The sequence below is a fragment of the Homo sapiens genome, chromosome 19, assembly GCF_000001405.40.
Source record: "Homo sapiens chromosome 19, GRCh38.p14 Primary Assembly".
Taxonomy (NCBI): domain Eukaryota; kingdom Metazoa; phylum Chordata; class Mammalia; order Primates; family Hominidae; genus Homo; species Homo sapiens.
The window spans coordinates 5,758,939-5,781,691 of record NC_000019.10 but is presented as its reverse complement, the minus strand read 5'-3'; the positions used below and the strand labels follow the sequence as shown (position 1 = coordinate 5,781,691).

General features: G+C 50.8%; 1 protein-coding gene across 13 annotated transcripts in view, besides 1 other annotated feature; it reads right to left on the bottom strand.

Annotated features, from left to right (window-relative positions):
• Positions 782–960: a silencer, noted in NCBI's record as "fragment chr19:5780743-5780921 (GRCh37/hg19 assembly coordinates)". NCBI's record gives its function as "represses an EF-1alpha promoter that drives an FKBP-Casp9 reporter gene in an ReSE screen in HepG2 liver carcinoma cells {active_cell/tissue: HepG2}" and the evidence as "EXISTENCE:reporter gene assay evidence [ECO:0000049][PMID:32094911]".
• CATSPERD (catsper channel auxiliary subunit delta) overlaps positions 2,958–22,753 on the bottom strand; it is a 58,098-nt gene continuing 38,302 nt past the window's right edge. For 7 of the 13 annotated variants that reach the window (XM_011527885.4, XM_011527886.4, XM_017026564.3 and 4 more), the window contains 9 exons: positions 22,548–22,606; positions 18,399–18,477; positions 15,537–15,589; positions 13,450–13,524; positions 10,620–10,748; positions 8,727–8,904; positions 5,737–5,934; positions 5,377–5,531; positions 2,958–3,316 (listed from right to left, as the gene is read on the bottom strand). In XM_011527885.4, the coding sequence (XP_011526187.1) occupies positions 3,016–3,316; positions 5,377–5,531; positions 5,737–5,934; positions 8,727–8,904; positions 10,620–10,748; positions 13,450–13,524; positions 15,537–15,589; positions 18,399–18,477; positions 22,548–22,606 (1,227 nt within the window). In that variant the 3' untranslated portion in view covers positions 2,958–3,015. Of the gene's footprint in view, positions 3,317–5,376; positions 5,532–5,736; positions 5,935–7,219; positions 7,323–8,726; positions 8,905–10,619; positions 10,749–13,449; positions 13,525–15,536; positions 15,590–18,398; positions 18,478–22,547; positions 22,607–22,753 lie in introns of those variants that run through there. The other 6 variants (NM_152784.4, XM_011527887.4, XM_047438564.1 and 3 more) reach the window with 6 other exon arrangements.

Sequence of the window (22,753 nt, the reverse complement as noted above, 5' to 3'; positions counted from 1 at the left end):
CTACTGAAAATACAAAAATTGGCCGGGCGCAGCTTCTCACGCCTGTAATCCCAGTACTTCGGGAGGCCAAGGCAGGCAGATCACGAGATCAGGAGATTGAGACCATCCTGGCAAACACGATGAAACCCCAGCTCTACTAAAAATACAAAAAAATTAGCTGGGTGTGGTGGCGGGTGCCTGTAGTCCCAGCTACTCGGGAGGCTGAGGCAGGAGAATGGCGTGAACCCAGGAGGCGGAGCTTGCAGTGAGCCAAGATTGCACCACTGCACTCCAGCCTGGGCGACAGAGTGAGACTCCGTCTCAAAAAAAAAAAGAAAATGCAAAAATTATCTGGGTATGGTGGCAGGCGCCTGTAATCCCAGCTACTCAGGAGACTAAGGCACAAGAATTGCTTGAGCCCGGGAGGCAGAGGTTGTAGTGAGCCGAGATCACATCACTGCACTCCACCCTGGGCAATAGAGCAAGACTCCATTTCAAAAAACAAAAACAACTCCGGGTAGTGTCTCGGGGCCATGCAGCTGTGGCCCTCAAGACAGGGTCCCCCTGTCCCAGGGACTGTGCCATGTGCCCTCCTGGCATCTGCAGTGATCCCCATTCATCACTGTTTGACCCGTGGGGACACAGGCTGGGAGAGACTCCAAGTGCACTTTTGTTTTTTTGAGGCAGAGTTTCGCTCTTGTTGCCCAAGCTGGAGTGCAATGGCGTGATCTCGGCTCACTGCAACCTCCGCCTCCCGAGTTCAAGTGACTCTCCTGCCTGCCTCAGCCTCCCGAGTAGCTGGGATTACAGGTGTGCACCACCACACCTGGTTAATTGTATTTTTAGTAGAGACGGGATTTCACCATGTTGGTCAGGCTGGTCTCGATCTCCTAACCTCAGGGGATCCGCCCGCCTCAGCCTACCAAAGTGCTGGGATGACAGGCGTGAGCCACCGCGCCCAGCCCCAAGCCCACTTTTCTCAGCTGCTTTTCAACTCCTTCTCCCCGAAGCCTCATTAGGGGTATCTCTGAAACTAAAACCAGGTATCCCAAGTGTCGGGGAGGTCCTGGCTGATGAGGAAGTGGGGCAAGGACCTGGATCACTTTTCTTGAAGATTAATGTGGAGTGAGGGTCACACAGTGGATGTCTGCAAGGACCCAAGCAGTAGCTTTTTTTTTTCTTTCTGAGACAGGGTCTCGCTACGTTGCCCAGGCTGGAGTATAGCGCCGTGATCATGGCTTACTGCAGCCTCGACCTCCTGGGCTCAAGCGATCCTCCCACCTCAGCCTCCCAAGTAGCTGGAACTACAGGCATGCACCACCACACTCAGCTAATGTCTAAAAAAATTTTTTTGTAGAGATGGGGGGTCTTGCTATGTTGTCCAGGCTGATCTTGAACTCCTGGCCTCAAGTGATCCCCCTGCCCCAGCCTGTTGTAGCTATGTGGGGCAATTTAAAATGATCACAGAATATATATATGTATTTTTTAATATATATATTTTTATATATGTATTTTAATATATATTTATATATGTATTTATATATATGTATTTTTAATATATATATGTATTTATACATATTTTTATATGTATTTTTAATATATATATTTTATATATGTATTTTTTATGTATGTATATTTTATATATATATTTTTTTAACCAAAGAGTAATCGGAAGTCATGAGACTGACCAAATTTTCACTTAAAAGGAGATGGCTGACCCTGGTGCAGTGGTTCACTGAGAATCCCAGCACTTTGGGAGGCTGAGGCAGGAGGATCGCTTGAGCTCAGGAGTTTGAGACCAGCCTGGGCAATATGTCAAAACCCCATCTCTACAAAAAAAAATAGTAAAAAAACAAAATTACCCAGGCATGCTGGCGTGGACTTGTAGTCCCAGCTACTTGGGAGGCTGAGGTGGGAGGATCACTTGAGCCCAGGAGGCAGAAGTTGCAGTAAGCCAAAATCACACCACTGCACTCCAGGACAAAGGAGCAAGAATCTGTCTCCGAAAAAAAAAAAAAAAAAAGGTCGGGGGTGGGGCGGGCACGGTGGCTGACGCCTGTAATCCCAGCACTTTGGAAGGCCGAGGTGGGCAGATCATGAGGTCAGGAGTTTGAGACCAGCCTGGCCAACATGGTGAAACCCTGCCTTTACCAAAAATACAAAAATTAGCCAGGCATGGTGGCAGGCGTCTGTAATCGCAGCTACTCAGGAGGCTTAGGCAGGAGAGTTGCTTGAATCTGGGAGGCAGAGGTTGCAGTGAGCTGAGATCACACCACTGCACTCCGGCCTGGGCAACAGAGTGAGACTCCATCTCACTCAGAGAGATGGCTAACCCTAGAGCACTGGCCCATCCATAATCCCAGTACTTTGAGAGGCTGAGGCAGGAGGATCGCTTGAGTCCAGGAGTTCGAGACCAACTTGGGCAACAAAGTGAGACCCTGTCTCTACAAAAACTAAAAGTAAAATTAGCCATGTGTGGTGGTGGTTCCTGTAGTCCCAGCTACTCAGGAGGCTGAGGAGGGAGGATCACTTAAGCCTGGGAGTTTGAGGCTGCAGTGAGCTGTGATCACACCACCGCACTCTCAGCCTGGGCAACACAATGAGACCACACTGATACTTAAAAAAAAAAAAAAAAAAAAAAAAAAAAAAAGCCAGGCATGGTGGCTCATGCCTGCAATCCCAGCACTTTGGGAGGCCGAGCTGGGCGGATCACGAAGGTCAGGAGATCGAGACCATCCTGGCTAACACGATGAAACCCTGTCTCTACTAAAAATGCAAAAAAATTAGCTGGGCGTGGTGGCGGGCGCCTGTAGTCCCAGCTACTTGGGAGGCTGAGGCAGGAGAATGGCATGAACCTGAGAGGCGAAGGTTGCAGTGAGCCGAGATCGCGTCACTGCACTCCAGCCTGGGCGACAGAGCGAGACTCCGTTTCAAAAACAAACAAAAAACAAAAAAAATGGTGAATACATACTGCTTCCTGCTATGTTACATTATACTTTATTTGAAGACAAGGGGTTGGGACCCTGTGGACCGGCCTCAGTGGTCAGACCTGCCTCCGTGAGGAGTGCGGTGGCGTCCCGGGGGCTCTGTGCCTGCCCTGGCTGTGGCTGAGGCCCTGAACTGGCAGACCGTCTTGCATCTCCTACACAGCTGTGTCGCACACTTCTTGATCCTGCGGCCGCGTGCTGTGCGTAGCAGCTTGGGGGTCTTGTAGGCCAGCCAAACGGACCCCAGGATGCTGGAGATGATCAGTAGGATGACGACTCCAGCAGAGACCAGCTGCACGGGGAATGCTCCATACACGTAGATGCTAAAGATGGTCTCCAGTTGACAGTAGCTGCGGTGGGGGGAGGCGGGGAGAGGCTGTTGGGCATTGCCTTTGGGGGACTTCGCCTTATCTCTGGCAAAGGTGTTCAGACCCACAGGAGGGAGAACCAGGCCCACAGCAGTGACCGGGTATACCCACTTCTGTTTCCATCCACTATGCCTTTTTTTTTTTTTTTTTGAGTCGGAGTCCCTCTCTTGTCACCCAGGCTGGAGTGCAGTGGCACGATCTCGGCTCATTGCAACCTCCGCCTCCTGAATTCAAGCAATTCTCCTGCCTCAGCCTCCCAAGTATCTGGGATTACAGGCACCTGCCAACCATGCCTGGCTAATTTTTGTATTTTTGGTAGAGATGGGGTTTCACCTCGGCCAGGCTGGTCTCGAACTCCTGACCTCAAGTGATCCGCCCGCCTCTGCCTCCCAAAATGCTGGGATTACAGGTGTGAGCCACTGCACCTGGCCCACTTTGACTTTTATGGGTTTTTGTTTTGTTTTGTTTTGTTTGTTTTTTGAAACGGTGGAATCTGGCTCTATTACCCAGGCTGGAGTGCAGTGGTGCAATCTCGGCCCACTACAATCTCTGCCTCCCGGGTTCAAGCGATTCTCCTGCCTCAGCCTCCCGAGTAGCTGGGATTACAGGCGCCCACCATCACACCTGGCTAATTTTTAGTAGAGACGGAGCTTCTCCATGTTGGCCAGGCTTGTCTCGAACTCCTGACTTCAAGTGATCCACCTGTCCTGGCCTCCCAAAGTGTTGGGATTACAGGCGTAAGCTATTGTGCCAGGCCGACTTTTATGGGTTCTGAGTCAGCCATCCTCTCCATGCCCTCTGGCAGCTGTCACCAGGATCCCTATTCTCCCCCAATGCCCAGGCTCTGGCTAGAGAGGGCGGAAGGGGCAAATTAACTAAATGGTCCATCAACAACTAGGAAGTGGTGGGTGACAGTGGAGGCTAGGTCAGGGCAGGAAAGGTTCAGGGGTGTCACAGAATCCACGGCAGGGAGGGGGACAGTGCAGGTCACGTGATGCAGGGAGCACCTGTGGCACGGGAGAGTCCCACACATGTCTCCTCTCTCTGGTGGACATCCTCACCCTACCCAGTGCCTTCCACCTGCTGCCACCCCGGAGCTGATCCTCCTAGTCTGGGGCCTCTAGAGAAGGCAGGACCTCCACGTGTTTTTTTTTCAGGGGGTGAACTTTCATCCTACTGGAGAGGACAGGTGATAAGTGACAATGACTTCCAGTAGGGGTGAGGATATGAGGAAGATTTCCACCTGGTGTCCCCCTTCCAAAGGGACACACTGATCCACATGGCATGGCTTCGATGTGGCTTTATAATCTCCTCAGCACCTGTCAGTGCTAAATATTTAACAACTGGCTCTCAGAGGGGAAAGGCCTCCTGGGTAGTGTCTGCCAATTCCCGTAGTGTAAATATTTCCACTGTGGCTGATTCGAAGCCACTGACATGAAATTGATTGGTGTAAGATTCCTGAATTTTTTTTTTTTTTTTTGAGATGGAGTCTCGCTCTGTTACCCAGGCTAGAGGCCAGTGAGTGGCGCAATCTCAGCTCACTGCAACCTCTGCCTCCCGGGTTCAAGCGATTCTCCTGCCTCAGCCTCCCGAGTAGCTGAGATTAAAGGCACCTGCCACCACAGCCGGCTAATTTTTGTATTTTCAGTAGAGACGGGGTTTCACCAGGTTGGCCAGGCTGAAGATTCCTGAATATTTGAGAGTCTACTCCTGGTGAGCCAGTTTGAGCCAGCTCTGGCCCACAGCCATCAGCACACTCTAGCCATGGGGAGTAGGAGAGGGCGACTCAGGTGCGCCAGGGCAGCGGCACAGCCTCTGGTCACTGCTGTTCCCCCAGCACTCAGTGCAGGACTCTGAAATGAGTATTTAGTTCACATGGGAACAAATGTCACCCAGAACTTAAAACATCACTTGTCCTGGGGACGGCCTGGGCTGTTGGGGGAATTCAGGTTTAGCCAGGACCTGCATGTCCCCCGAAACGGGTGACCTGCCCCCAGGGGCACCAGGCGTCCCCTGTCGTAGGGGCAGATGGGCCCACTCACCTGTAGTACGGATCCACGATCGAAATGTAGAAGACATAAAAGCCATTGTGGCCGAAAATGATCTGGTTTGCTGTCCGGCCGCCCAAGATCTGATACTGGACGTCTGGCCACCTCAAAGGGGCATTGTTGTTGGGGTCGTGGCAGCTCACATAGTTCTGTGGGGGACAGAGACATGCCCACTGGCCCTAGGGACTGGGGAGGGGGCCCTGAGCCTCCCTCCTCCCTGCGGAGGCCCTGCACCCACCCCAGTCCTCATTAGGCACGCATGGGTGGGACTCTGGGGCCAAGTGCCCATGGTGTGGGCAGGTTCATGCTCCCTGCAGAGAAGAGTGGATGGAGGCTGCTCAGCCTCCATCTCACCTGCCTCTGTTGGAGGCCGAAAGATTGAGGGTGGTGATCAACTCCGTATACCACTGGAGGCCATATGAGTAAACAGCAAACTTTCTCATAAAAGCAGAATGTTGGCAAACTGACAAACTGCGTCTGCCGCCCAGAAGGAATGCTGAGGGCGGTCACGAGCCAGGCACAGTGTTTCTTCTGATTTGGTACATCTGAAGCCTATTAGTAATAATATGAACCTGTAATCAATTAACCAGCTGACCAATCGTTACCTGCTCCTCCCTGCTCTTTCTTTCTTTCTTTTCTTTCTTTTTTTTTTTTTTTTTTTGAGATGGGGTTTCACTCTGTTGCCCAGGCTGGAGTGCAGTGGCGCGATCTCGGCTTACTGCAAGCTCTGCCTCCCGGATGCATGCAATTCTCCTGCCTCAGCCTCCCGAGTAGCTGGGACTACAGGTGCCCGCCACCGTGGCCAGCAAATTTTTTTTTTTTTTTTTTGTATTTTTAGTAGAGATGGGGTTTCACCATGTAAGCCAGGATGGTCTCAATCTCCTGACCTTGTGATCTACCCACCTCAGCCTCCCAAAGTGCTGGGATTACAGGCGTGGCCACCTCGCCTGGCCCCTCCCTGCTGTTTCTACTCAATAAATACGCAGGTCTGTGGAAGCTTGAGGGACTGCCTTTACTCACTAGAAGCGGGGAGCTCTCTTCTTCCCCATGCCTCTTCTTTAAAACAGTTTCTTTTGTCTTAAGTTTTCATTTCTACATTCGTTCCCCCTTCCTTCAGTCTTGTAACGAAGGTCTCAAGTAGTAGCAGTAGTAACTGTTGTAGTGACCGTCTCAAGTAGTAACCGTGGCAGTCTGCCACATGCCTGCTTTCAGGCCTTCCTGGGCTGTGGAGGCTGGAGGCTTAATAACTTAGCCTGGGTGAGAGTCAGGCGCTTCCAATGACTTTTTTATTTTGAGACATTTTCTTCTGCTGTCCCCCAGGCTGGAGTGCAGTGGTGTCATCTGGGATCACCGCGATGTCTACCTCCCAGGTTCAAGCAATTCTCCTGCCTCAGCTTTCCAAGTAGCGGGAACTACAGGTGGGTACCATCATGCCCTGCTAATTTTTGTACTTTTAGTAGAGACGGGGTTTCACCATGTTGGTCAGGCTGGTCTCTAACTCCTGACCTCAAGTGATCCATCCACCTCGGCCTCCCAAAGTGCTGGGATTACAGGCGTGAGCCACAGTACCTGGCCACTCTTTATTTATTTATTTTTAAATTTTATTTTATGTTACTTTTTTGAGAAACAGCCTCGCTCTGTTGCCCAGGCCGGAGTGCAGTGGTGCAGTTTCGGCTCACTGCAACCTTCACCTCCTAGGTTCAAGCGATTCTCTTGCCTCAAGCTCCCCAGTAACTGGGATTACAGGCGTGCACCACTATGCCCAGGTAATTTTTGTATTTTTAGTAGAGACGGGGTTTTGCCATGTTAAGCTGGTCTTGAACTCCTGTCCTCAAGTAATCTGCCCACCTTGGCCTCCCAAAGTGCTGGGATTACAGGCGTGAGCCACTGTGCCTGTCCAGGAAAACTTCATGTTCTACAAAAGCAGCCACTCACCACAGCTGATGGAAAAAAAATAGTAATGGGGCCATCTCTTAAATGCACTCATGCAATTTGCAATGAGACAGCCCATATGAAGAATGCATATAGAAATACCAACAGAGCCGACCGGGCGCAGTGGCTCACGCCTATAATCCCAGCACTTTGGGAGGCCGAGGCGGGCGGATCACAAGGTCAGGAGTTCAAGACCAGCCTGGGCAACACGGTGAAACCCCGTCTCTACTAAAAATACAAAAATTAACCGGGCGTGGTGGCAGGTGCTTGTAAGTCCAGCTACTCAGGAGGCTGAGGCGGGAGAATTGCTTGAACTCGGGAGGTGGAGGTTGCAGTGAGCTGAGATTGCGCCACTGCACTCCAGCCTGGGGGACACAGTGAGGCTCCGTCTCAAAAAAAAAAAAAAAAAGCAAATGCAAAAAAAGAGCCAGGACACCATCTGCTGGTGGCTTTGCTGCATGCACTGCATTCCTGATACAAAACATTGTGTCCCGGGAAGATACACGTGGACTGATGCAATCTCTTTGTAGGGACAGGACATCACTCGTATGATAGAAATACACACTGAGGCTGAGCGTGGTGACTTATACCTATAATCCATGGGAGGATCGCTTCAGCCCAGGAGTTCAAAGCCAGCCTGTGTAACATACTGAAGCCCTGCCTCTACAAAAAAAAAAAAAAAAAGATACAAAAATTAGCTGGGCATGGTGGCACACACCTGTAGTCCCAGCTAATTGGGAGGCTGAAGTGGGAGGATCACTTGAGGCTTGAGTCTTCAGTGAGCTGAGATTGCACCACTGCACTCCAGCCTGGGAGACAGAGTGAGACCCTGCCTAAAAGAAATAAAAATAAAACAGATGCACACTGAGTAAGACAGCCCGGGAATTCCATCCATCCCTCAGTAGCAAGCATTGGGATGGTCCCAGGCATTTCTCATCATCAGCAAAGCCCCCTGAACACCTTGGTGCCTGCATTTCCCGTCCTTCGGTCAGTTCCTTAAATCCTCAAAGGCCTTGTACACCCCTAAAAGGAATTGGGGTTCCTGCTAGATCCCCTAAAGGACCTTCGAGTCTTTTGCAGTCGTGATCTGTGCTCACTGCAACCTCTGCCTCCCAGGCTCAAGTGATTCTCCTGAGTAGCTGGGAGTACAGGTGTCCGCCACCATGCCCGACTGATTTTTGTATTTTTAGTAGAGACGGGCTTTTGCCATGTTAGCCAGGCTGGTCTCAAACTCCTGACCTCATGATCCACCTGCCTCAGCCTCCCAAAGTGCTGGGATTACAGGCGTGAGCCACCGCGCCCCAACTCTTTCATTCCATACTCAGTTCCATGGCCGCACGGTGTCCTCACGCACTCTCCCACCCCCTGGTGGGCTGCTGATTCTTCTGGAAACGATCCTAGGGTCCTGTTACCTCTCTGTTCCAGAAGAAGGGCCCCCCGAATTCCTTTATCATGGTGGTCCAGTTCTGCGGCTGGGAGGTACACATGGCCGACTGGGCCGTCAGGGAATAGGAGTATGAGAACTGCCCGTTCACCTCCAGTAACACATACTCGGCGTCGATGACCTCCTGGAAACTGTCTTTTCGCCACCTAGGACACAGGCACGGGGCAGGGCTGTGCAGGGAGCAGGGACAACCCAGGAAGACCCGGGCCACAGCCACCTGGACGGCTGCAAAACCGCTTGGGGGGTGGGAGGTGACAGAGAGGAAACCAAAGGACGCCTGCCGCTCCCAGCTGAGGATGCCGTGTGTGGGCTGCGGGGAGGCCAGGAGAAAGAGCTGGGTGCATGGGGAGATGGGCAGCAGCCAGCACTGAGCATTGATAACAGGGTGGAAGGAAAAGTCTGCTCGGAGCTAGGCGCGGCGGCTCACGCCCGTAATCTCAGCACTTTGGGAGGCTGAAGCGGGAGGATCACGAGGTCAGGAGATCGAGACCATCTTGGCTAACACGGTGAAACCCTATCTCTACTAAAAATAAAAAAAATTAGCCGGGCGCAGTGGCGGGCGCCTGTAATCCCAGCTACTCGGGAGGCTGAGGCAGGAGAATGGCGTGAACCCGGGAGGCAGAGCTTGCGGTGAGCCAAGATCACACCGCTGCACTCCAGCCTGGGCGACAGAGCGAGACTCTGTCTCAAAAAAAAAAAAAAAAAAAAAAAAAAAAAAATTAACCGGGCATTGTGGTATGCAACTGCAGTCCCAGCTACTTGGGAGGCTGAGGCAGGAGGACCGCTTGAGCCTGGGAGGTTAAGGCTGCAATGAACTGTGTTCATGCCACTGGACTCCAGCCTGGGCAACAGAGCAAGACGCCAACACAAAAAAAAAAAAAGAAAAAAGGAAACAGAGAGAGAGAAAGAAAGGAAGGAAATGAAGGAAGGAAGGGAGGGGAGGAAAGGGAGGAAAAGAAAAGAAAAAAAGAAAAAAGAAAAGAAAAAGAAAAGCTATATGAGGTCATAGGATGTAGGGTGGGCCCTGATCTGATAAGACTGGTGTCCTTATAAGAACAGGAAGATGGCCAGGTATGGTGGCTCACGCCTGTTATCCCAGCACTCTGGAAAGCTGAGGCAGGTGGATCACGAAGTCAGGAGTTCGAGACCAGCCTGACCAACATGGTAAAACCCCATCTCTACTAAAAATACAAAAACTAGCCAGGCATGGTGGCACGCGCCTGTAATCCCAGATACTCGGGAGGCTGAGGCAGGAGAATCGCTTGAACCCTGGAGGTGGAGGTTGCAGTAAGCCAAGATCATGTCATTGCACTCCAGCCTGGGTGACAGAGTGGAAAAAAAAAAAAAAAAGAACAGGAAGACAGCAGGAGTGCACAGGCATAAAGAAAAGCCCATCGGCCGGGCGCAGTGGCTCATGCCTGTAATTCCAACACTTTGAGAGGCCAAGGCAGGCGGATCATCTGAGGTCAGGAGTTCAAGACCAGCCTGCCCAACATGGTGAAACCAAATCTCTGCTAATTAGCTGGGTGTGGTGGTGGGCACCTGTGGTCCCAGCTACCTGGGAGGCTGAGGTGGGAGGATCGCTTGAGCCCAAGGGACAGAGGCTGCAGTGAGCTGAGATCATGCCACTGCACTCCATCCTAGGCGACAGAGCAAGACCCTGTCTCAAAAAAAGAAAAGGTGTTCCAGGGAGAGGGCCCTGGGGGCCAGTGGGGCTGGGGCAGGAGCACGGTGGGAAACAGTGACCATCATCATTTTGAGGGATCTAGGGGAGCCTGGAGGGCCAGGCTGGTACCCCAGGGCCAGGGAGCATGAGGCCCTGCCACCGTCCCCACCCTGCAGCACCCCCCTGGGGTCTTACAGCTCCACCACGGGCTTCCATAGGGTGTCATAGTAGACGAGGAGAGGACAGCCCAGCTGCTGGTAGGAGTAAAACACGTGCAGGTCCTCGGAGGACTGCTGCCCCTGGAAGCCGGGGTCGTAGAATTCCCTTCAAGACACCAAGAAGCAGAGATGGGGAGTCTGTGAGTTCCTGCCCAGTCTGCCAACCCTTCACAGCCGCAGTTTCTTTTTTGCAAATGGGGATCGTCCATGAGAGTGGCAGGAGGTGGCATCTGAGGTGGGCGATTGAGAGCCATGGACCAGATGATATTGGAACTTCTGTTCTAGTTAATTTTTTGGCTGGAGCATAGTAATGCAGTCATGACTCACTGCAACCTCCACCTCCTGGGCCCAAGCAATCCTCTCACCTCAGCCTCCCGAGTGGCTGGGATTACAGGCACGCACCACCACGCATGGTTAATATTTTAAATTTTTGTAGAGATGAGGTCTTGCTGTGTTGCCCAGGCTGGTCTCAAACTCCTGGCCTCAAGTGATTCCCTCACCTCAGCCTCCCAAAGTGCTGGGATTACAGGTATAAGCCACCAAGCCCAGCAAAATTTCTGCTCCTTAAATTAGATCAGTGCAAAAGTAATCGAGGTTTTTGCCTTTTTTTTTTTTTTTTGAGACGGAGTTTCATTCTTGTTGCCCAGGCTGGAGCACAGTGGTGCAATCTCAGCTCACTGCAACCTCTCTCTCCCGGGTTCAAGTGATTCTCTTGCCTCAGCCTCCTGAGAAGCTGGGAATACAAGTGCCCACCACCACGCCCGGCTAATTTTTTGTGTTTTTAGTAGAGATGTGGGTTTCATCATGTTGGCTGGGCTGGTCTTGAACTCCTGACTTCAGGTGATCCACCCACTTCAGCCTCCCAAAGTGCAGGGATTACAGGGGTGACCCACTGCGCCCGGCCGGTTTTTGCCATTACTTTCAATGGCAAAAACCGTAATTACTTTTTTTTTTTTTTTTTGAGACAGAGTCTCGCTCTGTTGCCCAGGCTGGAGTGCAGTGGCGTGATCTCAGCTCACTGCAACCTCCGCCTCCCGGGTTGAAGAAATTCTCCCACCTCAGCCTCCTGAGTAGCTGGGACTACAGGCATGTGCCACCACGCCTGGCTAATTTTTGTATTTTTAGTAGAGACGGGATTTCACCATGTTGGCCAGACTGCTCTCAAACTCCTGACCTCAAGTGATCCACCTGTCTCGGCCTCCCAAAGTGCTGGGATTACAGGCATGAGCCACCCTGCCCGGCCAAAACCGTAATTACTTTTGCACCAACTAATAAATTACCCAGTTTAAGGCATTTTGCAATACAGCCCACATAGACTAAGATGACACTCCCCTCTGTGTCCTCCGCAGGTTCCAAAGTCACTGCCCCTTAGCAGCCCAGAAGCACTAGTTTAGGCCTCAGCTCTAAATGGGTAACTGACTCTTGACTTGCATTTGAGGGCTCAGGTCTTACAAATCACATGGAAGTGTGCACTCGCGTGGCAAGGAGCTCCCTCATGCTGGGTGCAATGAGGGGTCTTCGTATGGTTTGGATATTTGTCCCTTCCAAAGCTCCTGCTGAAACTGGATCCCTAGTGTTGGAGTGGGAGCCTAGTCAGAGGTGTTTAGGCCACAACGGCAGAGCTATGAATGGCTTGGAGCCATATTTATGGTACTGAGTGGGTTTTCATTCTCAGCTTCCATGAGAACTGCTTGTTTAAGAGCCTGGCACCTCCTCCCCCCATCCCACCACCCTCTTTTTTTTTTTTTTTTTTTTTGTCTCTAGGTTGCCCAGGCTGGTCTCAAACTCCTGGCCTCAAGCAATCCTCCTGCCTCAGCCTTCCAAAGTGTTGGGATTACAGGTGTGAGCCACTGCACCCAGCCTCCTCCCTCCTCTCTCTCTCTCTCTTTTTTTTTTGAGACAGAGTCTTGCTCTGTTGCCCAGTCTGGAGTGCAGTGGCTCAATCTTGGCTCACTGCAACCTCTGCCTCCCAGTTTCAAGCAACTCTCCTGCCTCAGCCTCCCGAGTAGCTGGCATTACAGGTGCCCACCACCATGCCTGGCTAATTTTCGTATTTTTAGTAGAGATGGGGTTTTGCCATGTTGGCCAGGCTGGTCTCGAACTCCTGAGCTCAAGTGATCCGCCTACCTCGGCAGGGATTACAGGCGTGAGCCACCGGGCCCGGCCATAACTCTTCTTTATAAATCACCCAGCCTCAGGTAGTCTTTTAAAGCAGCACAAATTGACTGAGGCCCAGACTCTCGTATGGGCGTGGCAGTACATGCTCACTGAGCCGGACAGCATGTGGGACCAGCCAGCTGAGGGAAGAGGATCACTTGAGCCCAGGAGGTCGAGGCTGTGGTGAGCTATGATCGCATCGCTGCACTCCAGCCTGGGCCACAGGGCCAGACCCTATCTCTTAAAAAATAATAATAGGCCGGGCGCGGTGGCTCATGCCTGTAATCCCAGCACTTTGGGAGGCTGAGGTGGGCGGATCACGAGATCAGGAGATTGAGACCAACCTGGCTAACACAGTGAAACCTCATCTCTACTAAAAATAAAACAAATTAGCCGTGCCTGGTGGCGGGAACCTGTAGTCCCAACTACTCAGGAGGCTGAGGCGGGAGAATGGTGTGAACCCGGGAGGTGGAGCTTGCAGTGAGCCGAGATCGCGCCACTGCACTCCAGCCTGGGCGACAGGCGAGACTCCATCTCAATAATAATAATAAATAAATAAATAAATAAATAAAATTCCTAATTTGCTCTTGGCTTTTGCAGGCCCAATGGTCGCCTTGGGTGTCAGGTGTTGCGGGGGGACGCTGGCTTACTTCTCGATGATGAAGCTGTAATTGTCTTGCAGGGTCAAGGGGTCCAGGATGCCCATGGAACAGGCGGAAACTTTGCTGCAAGCAAAAGTGGACATTGAGCAATGGCATGACCTCACAAAGAACCAAACCATTATGGATGGGACAGAAAGGGAGGGGCTGGGCGTGGTGGCTCAGGCCCAGCACTTTGGGAGCTGAGGCGGGCGGATCACCTGAGGTCAGGAGTTGGAGACCAGCCTGGCCAACATGAGGAAACCCCGTCTCTACTAAAGATACAAAAAGTTAGCCAGGCGTGGCATCACGCGCCTCTAATCGCAGCTTCTTGGGAGGCTGAGGCAGGAGAATCACTTGAACCTGGGAGGCGGAGGTTGCAATGAGCTGAGATTGCACCATTGCACTCCTGCCTGGGTGACAGAGCAAGACTCTGTCTCAAAAATAAATCGATAAAAATTAAAATAAAATAATAAAACAAATAAAAAAGGGAGGGCAGGCCAGGCGCGGTGGCTCATGCCTGTAATCCCAGCACTTTGGGAGGCCGAGGCCATCCTGGCTAACACGGTGAAACCCCGTCTCTACTAAAAATACAAAAAAATTAGCTGGGCATGGTGGCGGGCGCCTGTAGTCCCAGCTACTCGGAGGCTGAGGCAGGAGAATGGCATGAACCAGGGAGGCGGAGCTTGTAGTGAGCCGAGATCATGCCACTGCACTCCAGCCTGGGCGACAGAGCAAGACTCCGTCTCAATAATAATAATAATATATAAAAGGGAGGGCACACCTTTGCGTCTAATGCATGAGCAGTTGCCAAATGAGCAGATATGGAAAAAAAAAAAAACCTGAGAGACCCCAGCTCTGGGAGGGGCATGGCAGGAAATGGCTCTGCACTTTGCCGTTAGAGGTGTAGCTGGTCTGGCTTTTTTTTTTTTTTTTTTGAGACAGAGTCTCGCTCTGTCAACCAGGCTGGAGTGCAGTGGCACGATCTCGGCTCACTTCAAGTTCCGCCTCCTGGGTTCACGCCATTCTCCTGCCTCAGCCTCCCGAGTAGCTGGGACTACAGGCACCCGCCAATGCGCCCGGCTAATTTTTTGTATTTTTAGTAGAGACGGGGTTTCACTGTGTTAGCCAGGATGGTCTCAATCTCCTGACCTCGTGATCCACCCGCCTCGGCCTCCCAAAGTGCTGGGATTACAGGCGTGAGCCACCGTGCCCGGCCACTGGTCTGGCTTTTTAAAAAATTTATTTTAAAAATTGTGTTAGGCCAATTGCGGTGGCTCATGCCTGTAATCCCAGCACTTTGAGAGGCTGAGGCGGGCAAATCACTTGAGGTCAGGATTTGGAGACCAGCCTGGCCAACATGGTGAAACCCCGTTTCTACTAAAAATACAAAAATTAGCCAGGCATGGTAGCGGGCGCCTGTAATCTCAGCTACTTGGGAGGCTGAGGCAGGAGAATCACTTGAACCTGGGAGGCGGAGGTTGCAGTGAGTCAAGATCGTGCCACTGCACTCCAGCCTGGGTGACAGGGCGAGACTCCATCTCAAAAAAAAAAAAATGTGGATATCACCAACAGGTGAAGGAGGGGAGGCCAACATGCTGGAAACAAACTTAACCTATTAGGGTGAATCATTTAACTTTTTATTATGGAAATAGTAAATATATACAAAACTAAATAATCGAAAGTCATCCACCTCAGCAATTGTTACCATGTGGCTAATCGTGCCCTGTCAACTACTCTCCTCCCCTCTCCTCACTCCACTCCAATATCAACATACTTACTTTTTTTTTTTTTTCAAGACGAGAGTCTTGCTGTGTCAGCCAGGCTGGAGTGCAGAGTGCAGTGGCTCAATCTCAGCTCACTGTAGCCTCCACCTCCCAGGTTCAAGTGATCCTCCAGCCTCAGCCTCCCAAGTAGCCGAGATTGCAGGTGTCTGCCACCACGCCTAATTTTTTTTTTTTTTTTCAGTAGAGACGGGGTTTCGCCATGTTGGCCAGGCTGGTCTTGAACTCCTGACCTGAAGTGATCTGCCCACCTCGGCCTCCCAAAGTGCTGGGATCACAGGAATGAGCCATGGTGCCCGGCCTCAACATACTTACTTCTGGATGACGATCTTTTTATCCAGGTCGCAGCCAACTGAAATCAGTGTCGACTGCAGAGGAGAGAGACAGAAATATGGACCCAGGTCAGTGAGGGTCACCCGGACACAGTGAACCCTATACAGGGACACACTCCTGTGGGAATGGTTTGGAAACCATGTGGCCTGGATCCCAACAGCGTGTCCCTGGATGCCTGGGATGCACCGTAACTGCAGCTGGCCCCGCGGAGCTTAAGCTCTGAGAGCCTGGGGTATGGCTAAACTCCTGGTGTCGCCTGAGGAGCTATTAGTGGCTTCACGGAGACCAGAATTAACTTTTTCTTTTAATTAATTAATTATTTTTTGAGACAGAGTTTTTGCTCTGTCACCCAGGCTGGAGTGCAGTGGCCCAGTCTCAGCTCACTGCAACATCCTCCCCCTGGGTTCAAGCGATTCTCCTGCCTCAGCTTCCCAAGTAGCTGGGATTACAGGCGCCTACCAGCACACCCGGCTAATTTTTGTATTTTTAGTAGAGACGGGGTTTCATCATGTTGGCCAGGCTGGTCTCCAACTCTTGACCTCAGGTGATCCACCCGCCTGGGCCTCCCAAAGTGCTAGGAATACAGATGTGAGCCACCATGCCAGGCCCAGAACTAATTTATGAGCCCAGCATGATCCCTGGTACACAGAGAGCATGGGGAAAAAAATGCACGCATGCATGTATGAATGAATGAATGAATGAATGAATGAATGAATGAATGAATGAATGAATAAATCAATGGCCTAGAATGAATAAACAAAAAGGAGAAAGAAGACAGAGAGAGCAATTGGGGGTTACTCTACAGCCTTAGGGACATGCTTCTCAAACTGCAGTGCACGGCACCCTCAGAGTTATACAATGGAGTCTAAAAGCCACAGGACCAAGGGACTTTTAGTATTTGAAAACTGTTTTGTATTAAGACAAACATGGGCCAGGCGCAGTGGCTCACGCCTTTAATCCCAGCACTTTGAGAGGCTGAGCCAGTAGGATTGCTTGAGGCCAGGAGTTAGAGACCAGTCTGGGCAACATAGTGACACCTCATCTCTATGAAAAATAAAACTTAGCCAGGTGTGGTGGTGCACGCCTGTAATCCCAGCTACTTGAGAGGCTGAGGCAGGAAGATCACTTGAGCCTAGAAGGTTGAGGCTGCAGTGAGCCTTGATTGTGCTACTGTGCGGCAGCCTGGGAGACAGAGTGAGACCCTGTACCTACAAATAAAAAACAGCCAGGTGCTGTGGCTCACACCTGTAATCCCAGCACTTTGGGAGGCCAAGGCGGGCAAATTGCCTGAGGTCAGGAGTTCAAGACCAGCCTGGCCAATGTGGTGAAACCCCATTTCTATTAAAAATACAAAAAATTAGCTCGGCATGGTGGGGCTTGCCTGTAATCCCAGCTACTCGGGAGGCTGAAGCAGAATTGCTTGAACCCAGGAGGTGGAGGTTACAGTGAGCCAAGATTGCGCCACTGCACTCCAGCCTGAACAACAAGAGTAAACTCCGTCTCAAAAATAAATAAATAAATGGCCGGGCGCAGTGGCTCACGCCTGTAATCCCAGCACTTTGGGAAGCTGAGGCGGGCGGATCACGAGGTCAGGAGATCGAGACCATCCTGGCTAACACGGTGAAACCCTGTCTCTACTAAAAATACAAAAAAAATTAGCCAGGCATGGTGGCAGGCGCCTGTAGTCCCAGCTACACGGGAGGCTGAGGCAGAAGAATGGCGTGAACCCGGGAGGTGGAGCTTGCAGTGAGCCGAGATCGCACCACTGCACTCCAACCTGGGCGACAGAGTGAGACTCCGTCTCAAAAAATAAAAAAAATAAATAAAGCAAACCAAAAAGCAAGACAAACATGGATTTACCTTAGAACAGAATGCAAGATTCATATCTTAAAAAAAAAAAAATTGGCCAGGTGCAGGGGCTCATGCCTGTAATCCCAGCACTTTGGGAGGCTGAGGCAGGAGGATCACAAGACCAGGAGTTCAAGACCAGGTTGGGCGCAGTGGCTCATGCCTGTGATCCCAGCACTTTGGGAGGCCAAGGTGGGCAGATCACTTAAGGTCAGGAGTTCAAGACCAGCCTGGCCAACATGGTAAAACCCAGTTTCTTCTAAAAATACAAAAATTAGCTGGGCATGGTGGCACATGCTTGTAATCCCCGCTACTCGGGAGGCTGAGGTTAGGAGAATTGCTTGAATCCGGGAGATGGAGGTTACAATGAGCTGAGATCGCACCACTGCATTCCAGTCTGGGCGACAGAGTAAGACTCCATGTCAAAAAAAAAAAAAAAAAAGGAGTTCAAGACCAGCCTGGCCAACATGGTGACACTCCATCTCTACTAAAAATACAAAAATGGCCCAGGCACAGTGGCTCACGCCTGTAAGTGTGGGAGCTTTGGGAGACCAAGGCGGGCAGATCATCCAAGATCAAAAGTTCAAGACCAGCCTGGCCAACATGGTGACTGCCTGCTTTCAACTGCTTCAATCATCCCCTTCCTCAGCTCCTGACACCCCCCATCCTACTTTCTGTCCCTATGAATCTGATGACTCTAGGGACCTCCTAAGAGCGGAATCACACAGGATTTGTCCTTTCGTGCCTGGCTTCTCTCACTGTGTGGGATCTCCTCGAGGTTCATCCATGTGGAAGCATGCATCCATAAATTTTTTTATGCCATCAATGTTTATTTTTATTTTTAATTTTTTTAGTTTTTGAGGCAGAGTTTCACTCTCTTGCACCCAGGTTGGAGTGCAGTGGCACTATCTCAGCTCATTGCAACCTCAGGGCCAGCTTCCATGAGTCTTAACACTTATGACACCGAATATGGGACAGCAAAGATTTGGGACCTACCAGTGGCTTGATATCCACACATGAAATTTCCTTGTTTGCTATGTCCACAGTTAAGGTAGACATGGTGGCTTTCTTTAAACTGCAAGGCAACGGAACCTGTGTTATTAGAGAATAGCACCCCTGTAAACGACACAGCTGCATTCCATTCATCCTTCAGTCCATTCAGTCATCCGTGCATCCATCCATCCATCTCATCCATCCTTCCATCCATTCATTCCACCCACCCATCCATCCATTCATCCATCCATCCACCCTTCCATCTCTCTACCCATCCACTCATCCATCTACGCATTTATCCATCCATTCCATCCACCCACCCATCCATCCATCCACTCATCCATCTATCCACTTATTCATCCATCCATCTATCTATTCATCTCTCTATCCATCCAATCATCCATCTACCCATTTATCCATCCATTCCATCCACCTATCCATCCATCCATCCACTCATCCATCTATCCATTTATCCATCCATCCATCTATCTCATCCATCCTTCCATCCATTCATTCCACCCACCCACCTATCCATCCATCCATCCACCCATCCATCTCTCTATCCATCCACTCATCCATCTACCCACTTATCGATCCATTCCATCCACCCACCCATCCATCCATCTATTCACTCATCCATCTATCCATTTATCCATCCATCCATCCATCCATCCATCCACCCACCCATCCACCCATCCACCCAACCATCCGTCCATCTCTCTATCCATCTATCCACTCATCTGTCTACCCATTTATCCTTCTGATATGGTTTGGTTCTATGTCCCCACCCAAATCTCATCTCAAATTGTAATCCTCACATGTCAGGGGAGGGACCTGGTGGGAGGTGATTGGATCATGGTGGCAGTTTCCCCCTTGGTGTTCTTGTGATAGTGAGTGAATTCTCACAATATCTGATAGTTTAAAAGTGTATGGGGCTGGCCTCAGTGGGTCATGCCTGTAATCTCAGCACTTTGGGAGGCCGAGGTGGGCAGATCACCTGAGGTAAGGAGTTCGAGACCATTCTGGCCAACATGGCGAAACCCTGTCTCTACTAATAATACAAAAATTAGCCAGGCATGGTGGCGTGTGTCTGTAATCTCAGCTACCTGGGAGGCCAAGACACAAGAATCACTTGAACTCAGGAAGTGGAGGTTGCAGTGACCAGTGATCACACCACTGCACTCCAGCCTGGGCGACAGAGTGAAACTGTGTCTCAAAAAAAAAAAAAAAAAAAAAAATATATATATATATATATGGCAGGCCAGGCGCAGTGGCTCTCACCTGTAATCCCAGCACTTTGGGAGGCCAAGGCGGGCACATCACCTGAGATCAGGAGTTCAAGACCAGCCTTGCCAATATGGTGAAACCCCATTTCTACTAAAAATACAACAACAACAACAAAAATTAGCCGGGCGTGGTGGCACACGCCTGTAGTCCCAGCTACTCGGGAACTATAGTCCCAGCTACTTGGGAGGCTGAGGCAGGAGAACCGCTTGAACCCAGGAGGTGGAGATTGCAGTGAGCCGAGATCGTGCCATTGCACTCCAGCTTGGGCAACAAGAGCGAAGCTCCATCTCAGAAAAAAAAAAAAAAGAATGTATGATAGTTTCTCTCTCTCTCATTCTCTCTCTCTCTCTCTCTTCTGCCGCCATGAGAAGACATGCCTTGTTTCCCCTTCGCCTTCCGCCATGATTGTAAGTTTCCTAAGACCCCCAAGTCGTGCTTCCTGTTAAGCCTGAGGAACTGTGAGTCAATTAAACCTCTTTTCTTTATAAATTACCCAATCTCAGATAGTTCTGAAAACTGTGAAAACAGACTAATACACCATCCAGCCAGCCAGGCAGCCAGCCAGCCATCCATCCATCCATCCATCCATCCATTAATTTCTGAACACTGGCCGGGTGCGGTGGTTCATGCCTGTAATTCTAGCACTTTGGGAGGCTGACGCGGACGGACCACCTGAGGTCAGGAGTTCAAGACCAGCCTGGCTAACATGGTGAAACCCCGTCTCTAGTAAAAATACAGAAATTAGCTGGGCGTGGTGGCACATGCCTATAATCCCAGCTACTCGAGAGGCTGAGGCAAGAGAATCATTTGAACCCAGGAGGCAGAGATTGCAGTGAGCCGAGATCATGCCACTGCTAAGGCAGGAGAATGGCTTGAACCCAGGAGGCGGAGGTTGCAGTGAGCCAAGATTATGCCATTGCACTCCAGCCTGGGCAACAAGAGTGAAACTTCGTCTCAAAAAAAAAAACAAAAACAAAACAAATAAAAAAAACTTCACAAAACTGACTCAAGAAGCAGTGAAAACTCGATAGAAGGCTTTCAGTCAGCATTCAGAAATTTTTTTTTTTTTTGAGATGGGGGTCTCGCTCTGTCGCCCAGGGTCAGGGTCTTGCTCTATTGCCCAGGCTGGAGTACATTGTCATGCCCATAACTTACTACAACCTGAAACTCCTGAGCTCAAGCAATCCTCCTGCCTCAGTCTCCTGAGTTGCTATGGATCTCCTGAGTTGCTGTGATTATAGGCGTGAGCCGTCACACCGGGCCCCAAATTTTCCATCTTAACCATTTTAAGTGCACCATTCATCAATATTAACTACATTCACAGAGTTGTGCAACCATCACCACCATCCATCTCCAGAAGTTTCTCATCTTCCCCAACTGAAACTTGGTCCTCATGAAACACTCACTCCCCATCCCCCTCCCCAGCCCCTGGCACCCCCCATCCTACTTCCTGTCTCTGTGACTCAGACCACTCTAGGGTCCTCCTAGGAGTGGAATCACACAGGATTTGTCCTTTTGTATCCGGCTTATTGCACTGAGCATGTTGTCCTCAAGGTGCATCCAATCTAGCCTGTATCTTGCGTCAGGATTCCCTTACTTTTTTTTTTTTTTGAGAACGAGTTTTGCTCTATCACCTAGCATGGAGTTCAGTGGCGCAATCTCGGCTCACTGAAACCTCTGCCTCCCGGGTTCAAGCGATTCTCCTGCCTCAGCCTCCCGAGTAGCTGAGACTACAGGCGCCTGTCACCATGCCTGGCTAATTTTTGTATTTTTAGTAGAGACAGAGTTTCACCATGTTGGCCAGGCTGGTCTCGATCTCTTGACCTTGTGAGCTGTCCGCCTCAGCCTCCCACAGTGTTGGGATTCCACCTGCCTCAGCCTCCCAAAGTGTTGTGGGCCACAGCCCCCGGCCTTTTTTTTTTTTTTTTTTTTTTTTGAGATGGAGTCTCACTCTGTCACCCAGGCTGGAGTGCAGTGCCACAATCTCGGCTCACTGCAAGCTCCACCTCCTGGGTTCAAGCAATTCTGCCAAAGCCTCCTGAATACCTGGGATTACAGGCGCATACCACCATGCCCGGCTAATTTTTGTATTTTTAGTAGAGATGGGGGTTTCACCATGTTGGCCAGGCTGGTCTCGAACTCCTGACCTCAGGTGATCTGCCCGCCTTGACCTCCCAGAGTGCTGGGATTACAGGTGTGAGCCACCGCGCCCGGCCCGGGACTCCCTTCCTTCTTAAGTCTGAGTCATATTGCGATGTGCGGATGGACCACGCTGTGTTCATCCTTTCATCTGGTGATGGACCGGTGGGTTGATTTTTGCCTTTTGACTGTTGTGAATCACGCTGCTGTGAGCACAGGTGTGCAAATATCTCCCTGAGTAGCTGGGATTATAGGCGCCCGCCACTACACTTGGCTTATTTTTGCTTTTTTTTTTTTTTTTTTTGGAGCTGGAGTTTCATGTTTGTCGCCCAGGCTACAGTGCAATGGCACGATCTCGGCTCACTGCACCCTCTGCCTCCTGGATTCAAGCAATTCTCCTGCCTCAGCCTCCCGAGTAGCTGAAATTACAGGTGCCTGCCACTACGCCTAGCTAATTTTTTTTTATTTTTTAGTAGAGACGGGGTTTCACCGTGTTGGCTAGGCTGGTTTCGAACTCCTGACCTCAGGTGATCCACCCACCTCTGCCTCCCAAAGTACTGGGATTGCAGGCGTGAGCCACCGCGCCCAGCTCTTGTAAAGTGTTGTAATCGCCTTGTTTTACTGTTCTGGAGCTGGGGGTCTGATCTCAGACCTGCTTCTCTTCGCTCCTGCTAAGGAAACCCCTGTAGGCAGCCCAGTCCCCGCCTCTCCCAGGAGACAACATACCTGGAAGTGAAGTTGGAGTCGGTCCTGCCCCAGTGCTGCTGCTGTTTTAGGAAAATATCCTGTGGGGTCAAGAGAGAAAATCCCAAGTGTATCCGTGGAACACCATGGGCATCCCCAACTCAGGACATTGGGAGAGATGGGGTGTTGGAGGGGACATGGGGGGACGAACCTGGAAGCCGCTTAGCCCCACTCTGTTCCTTTTTTTT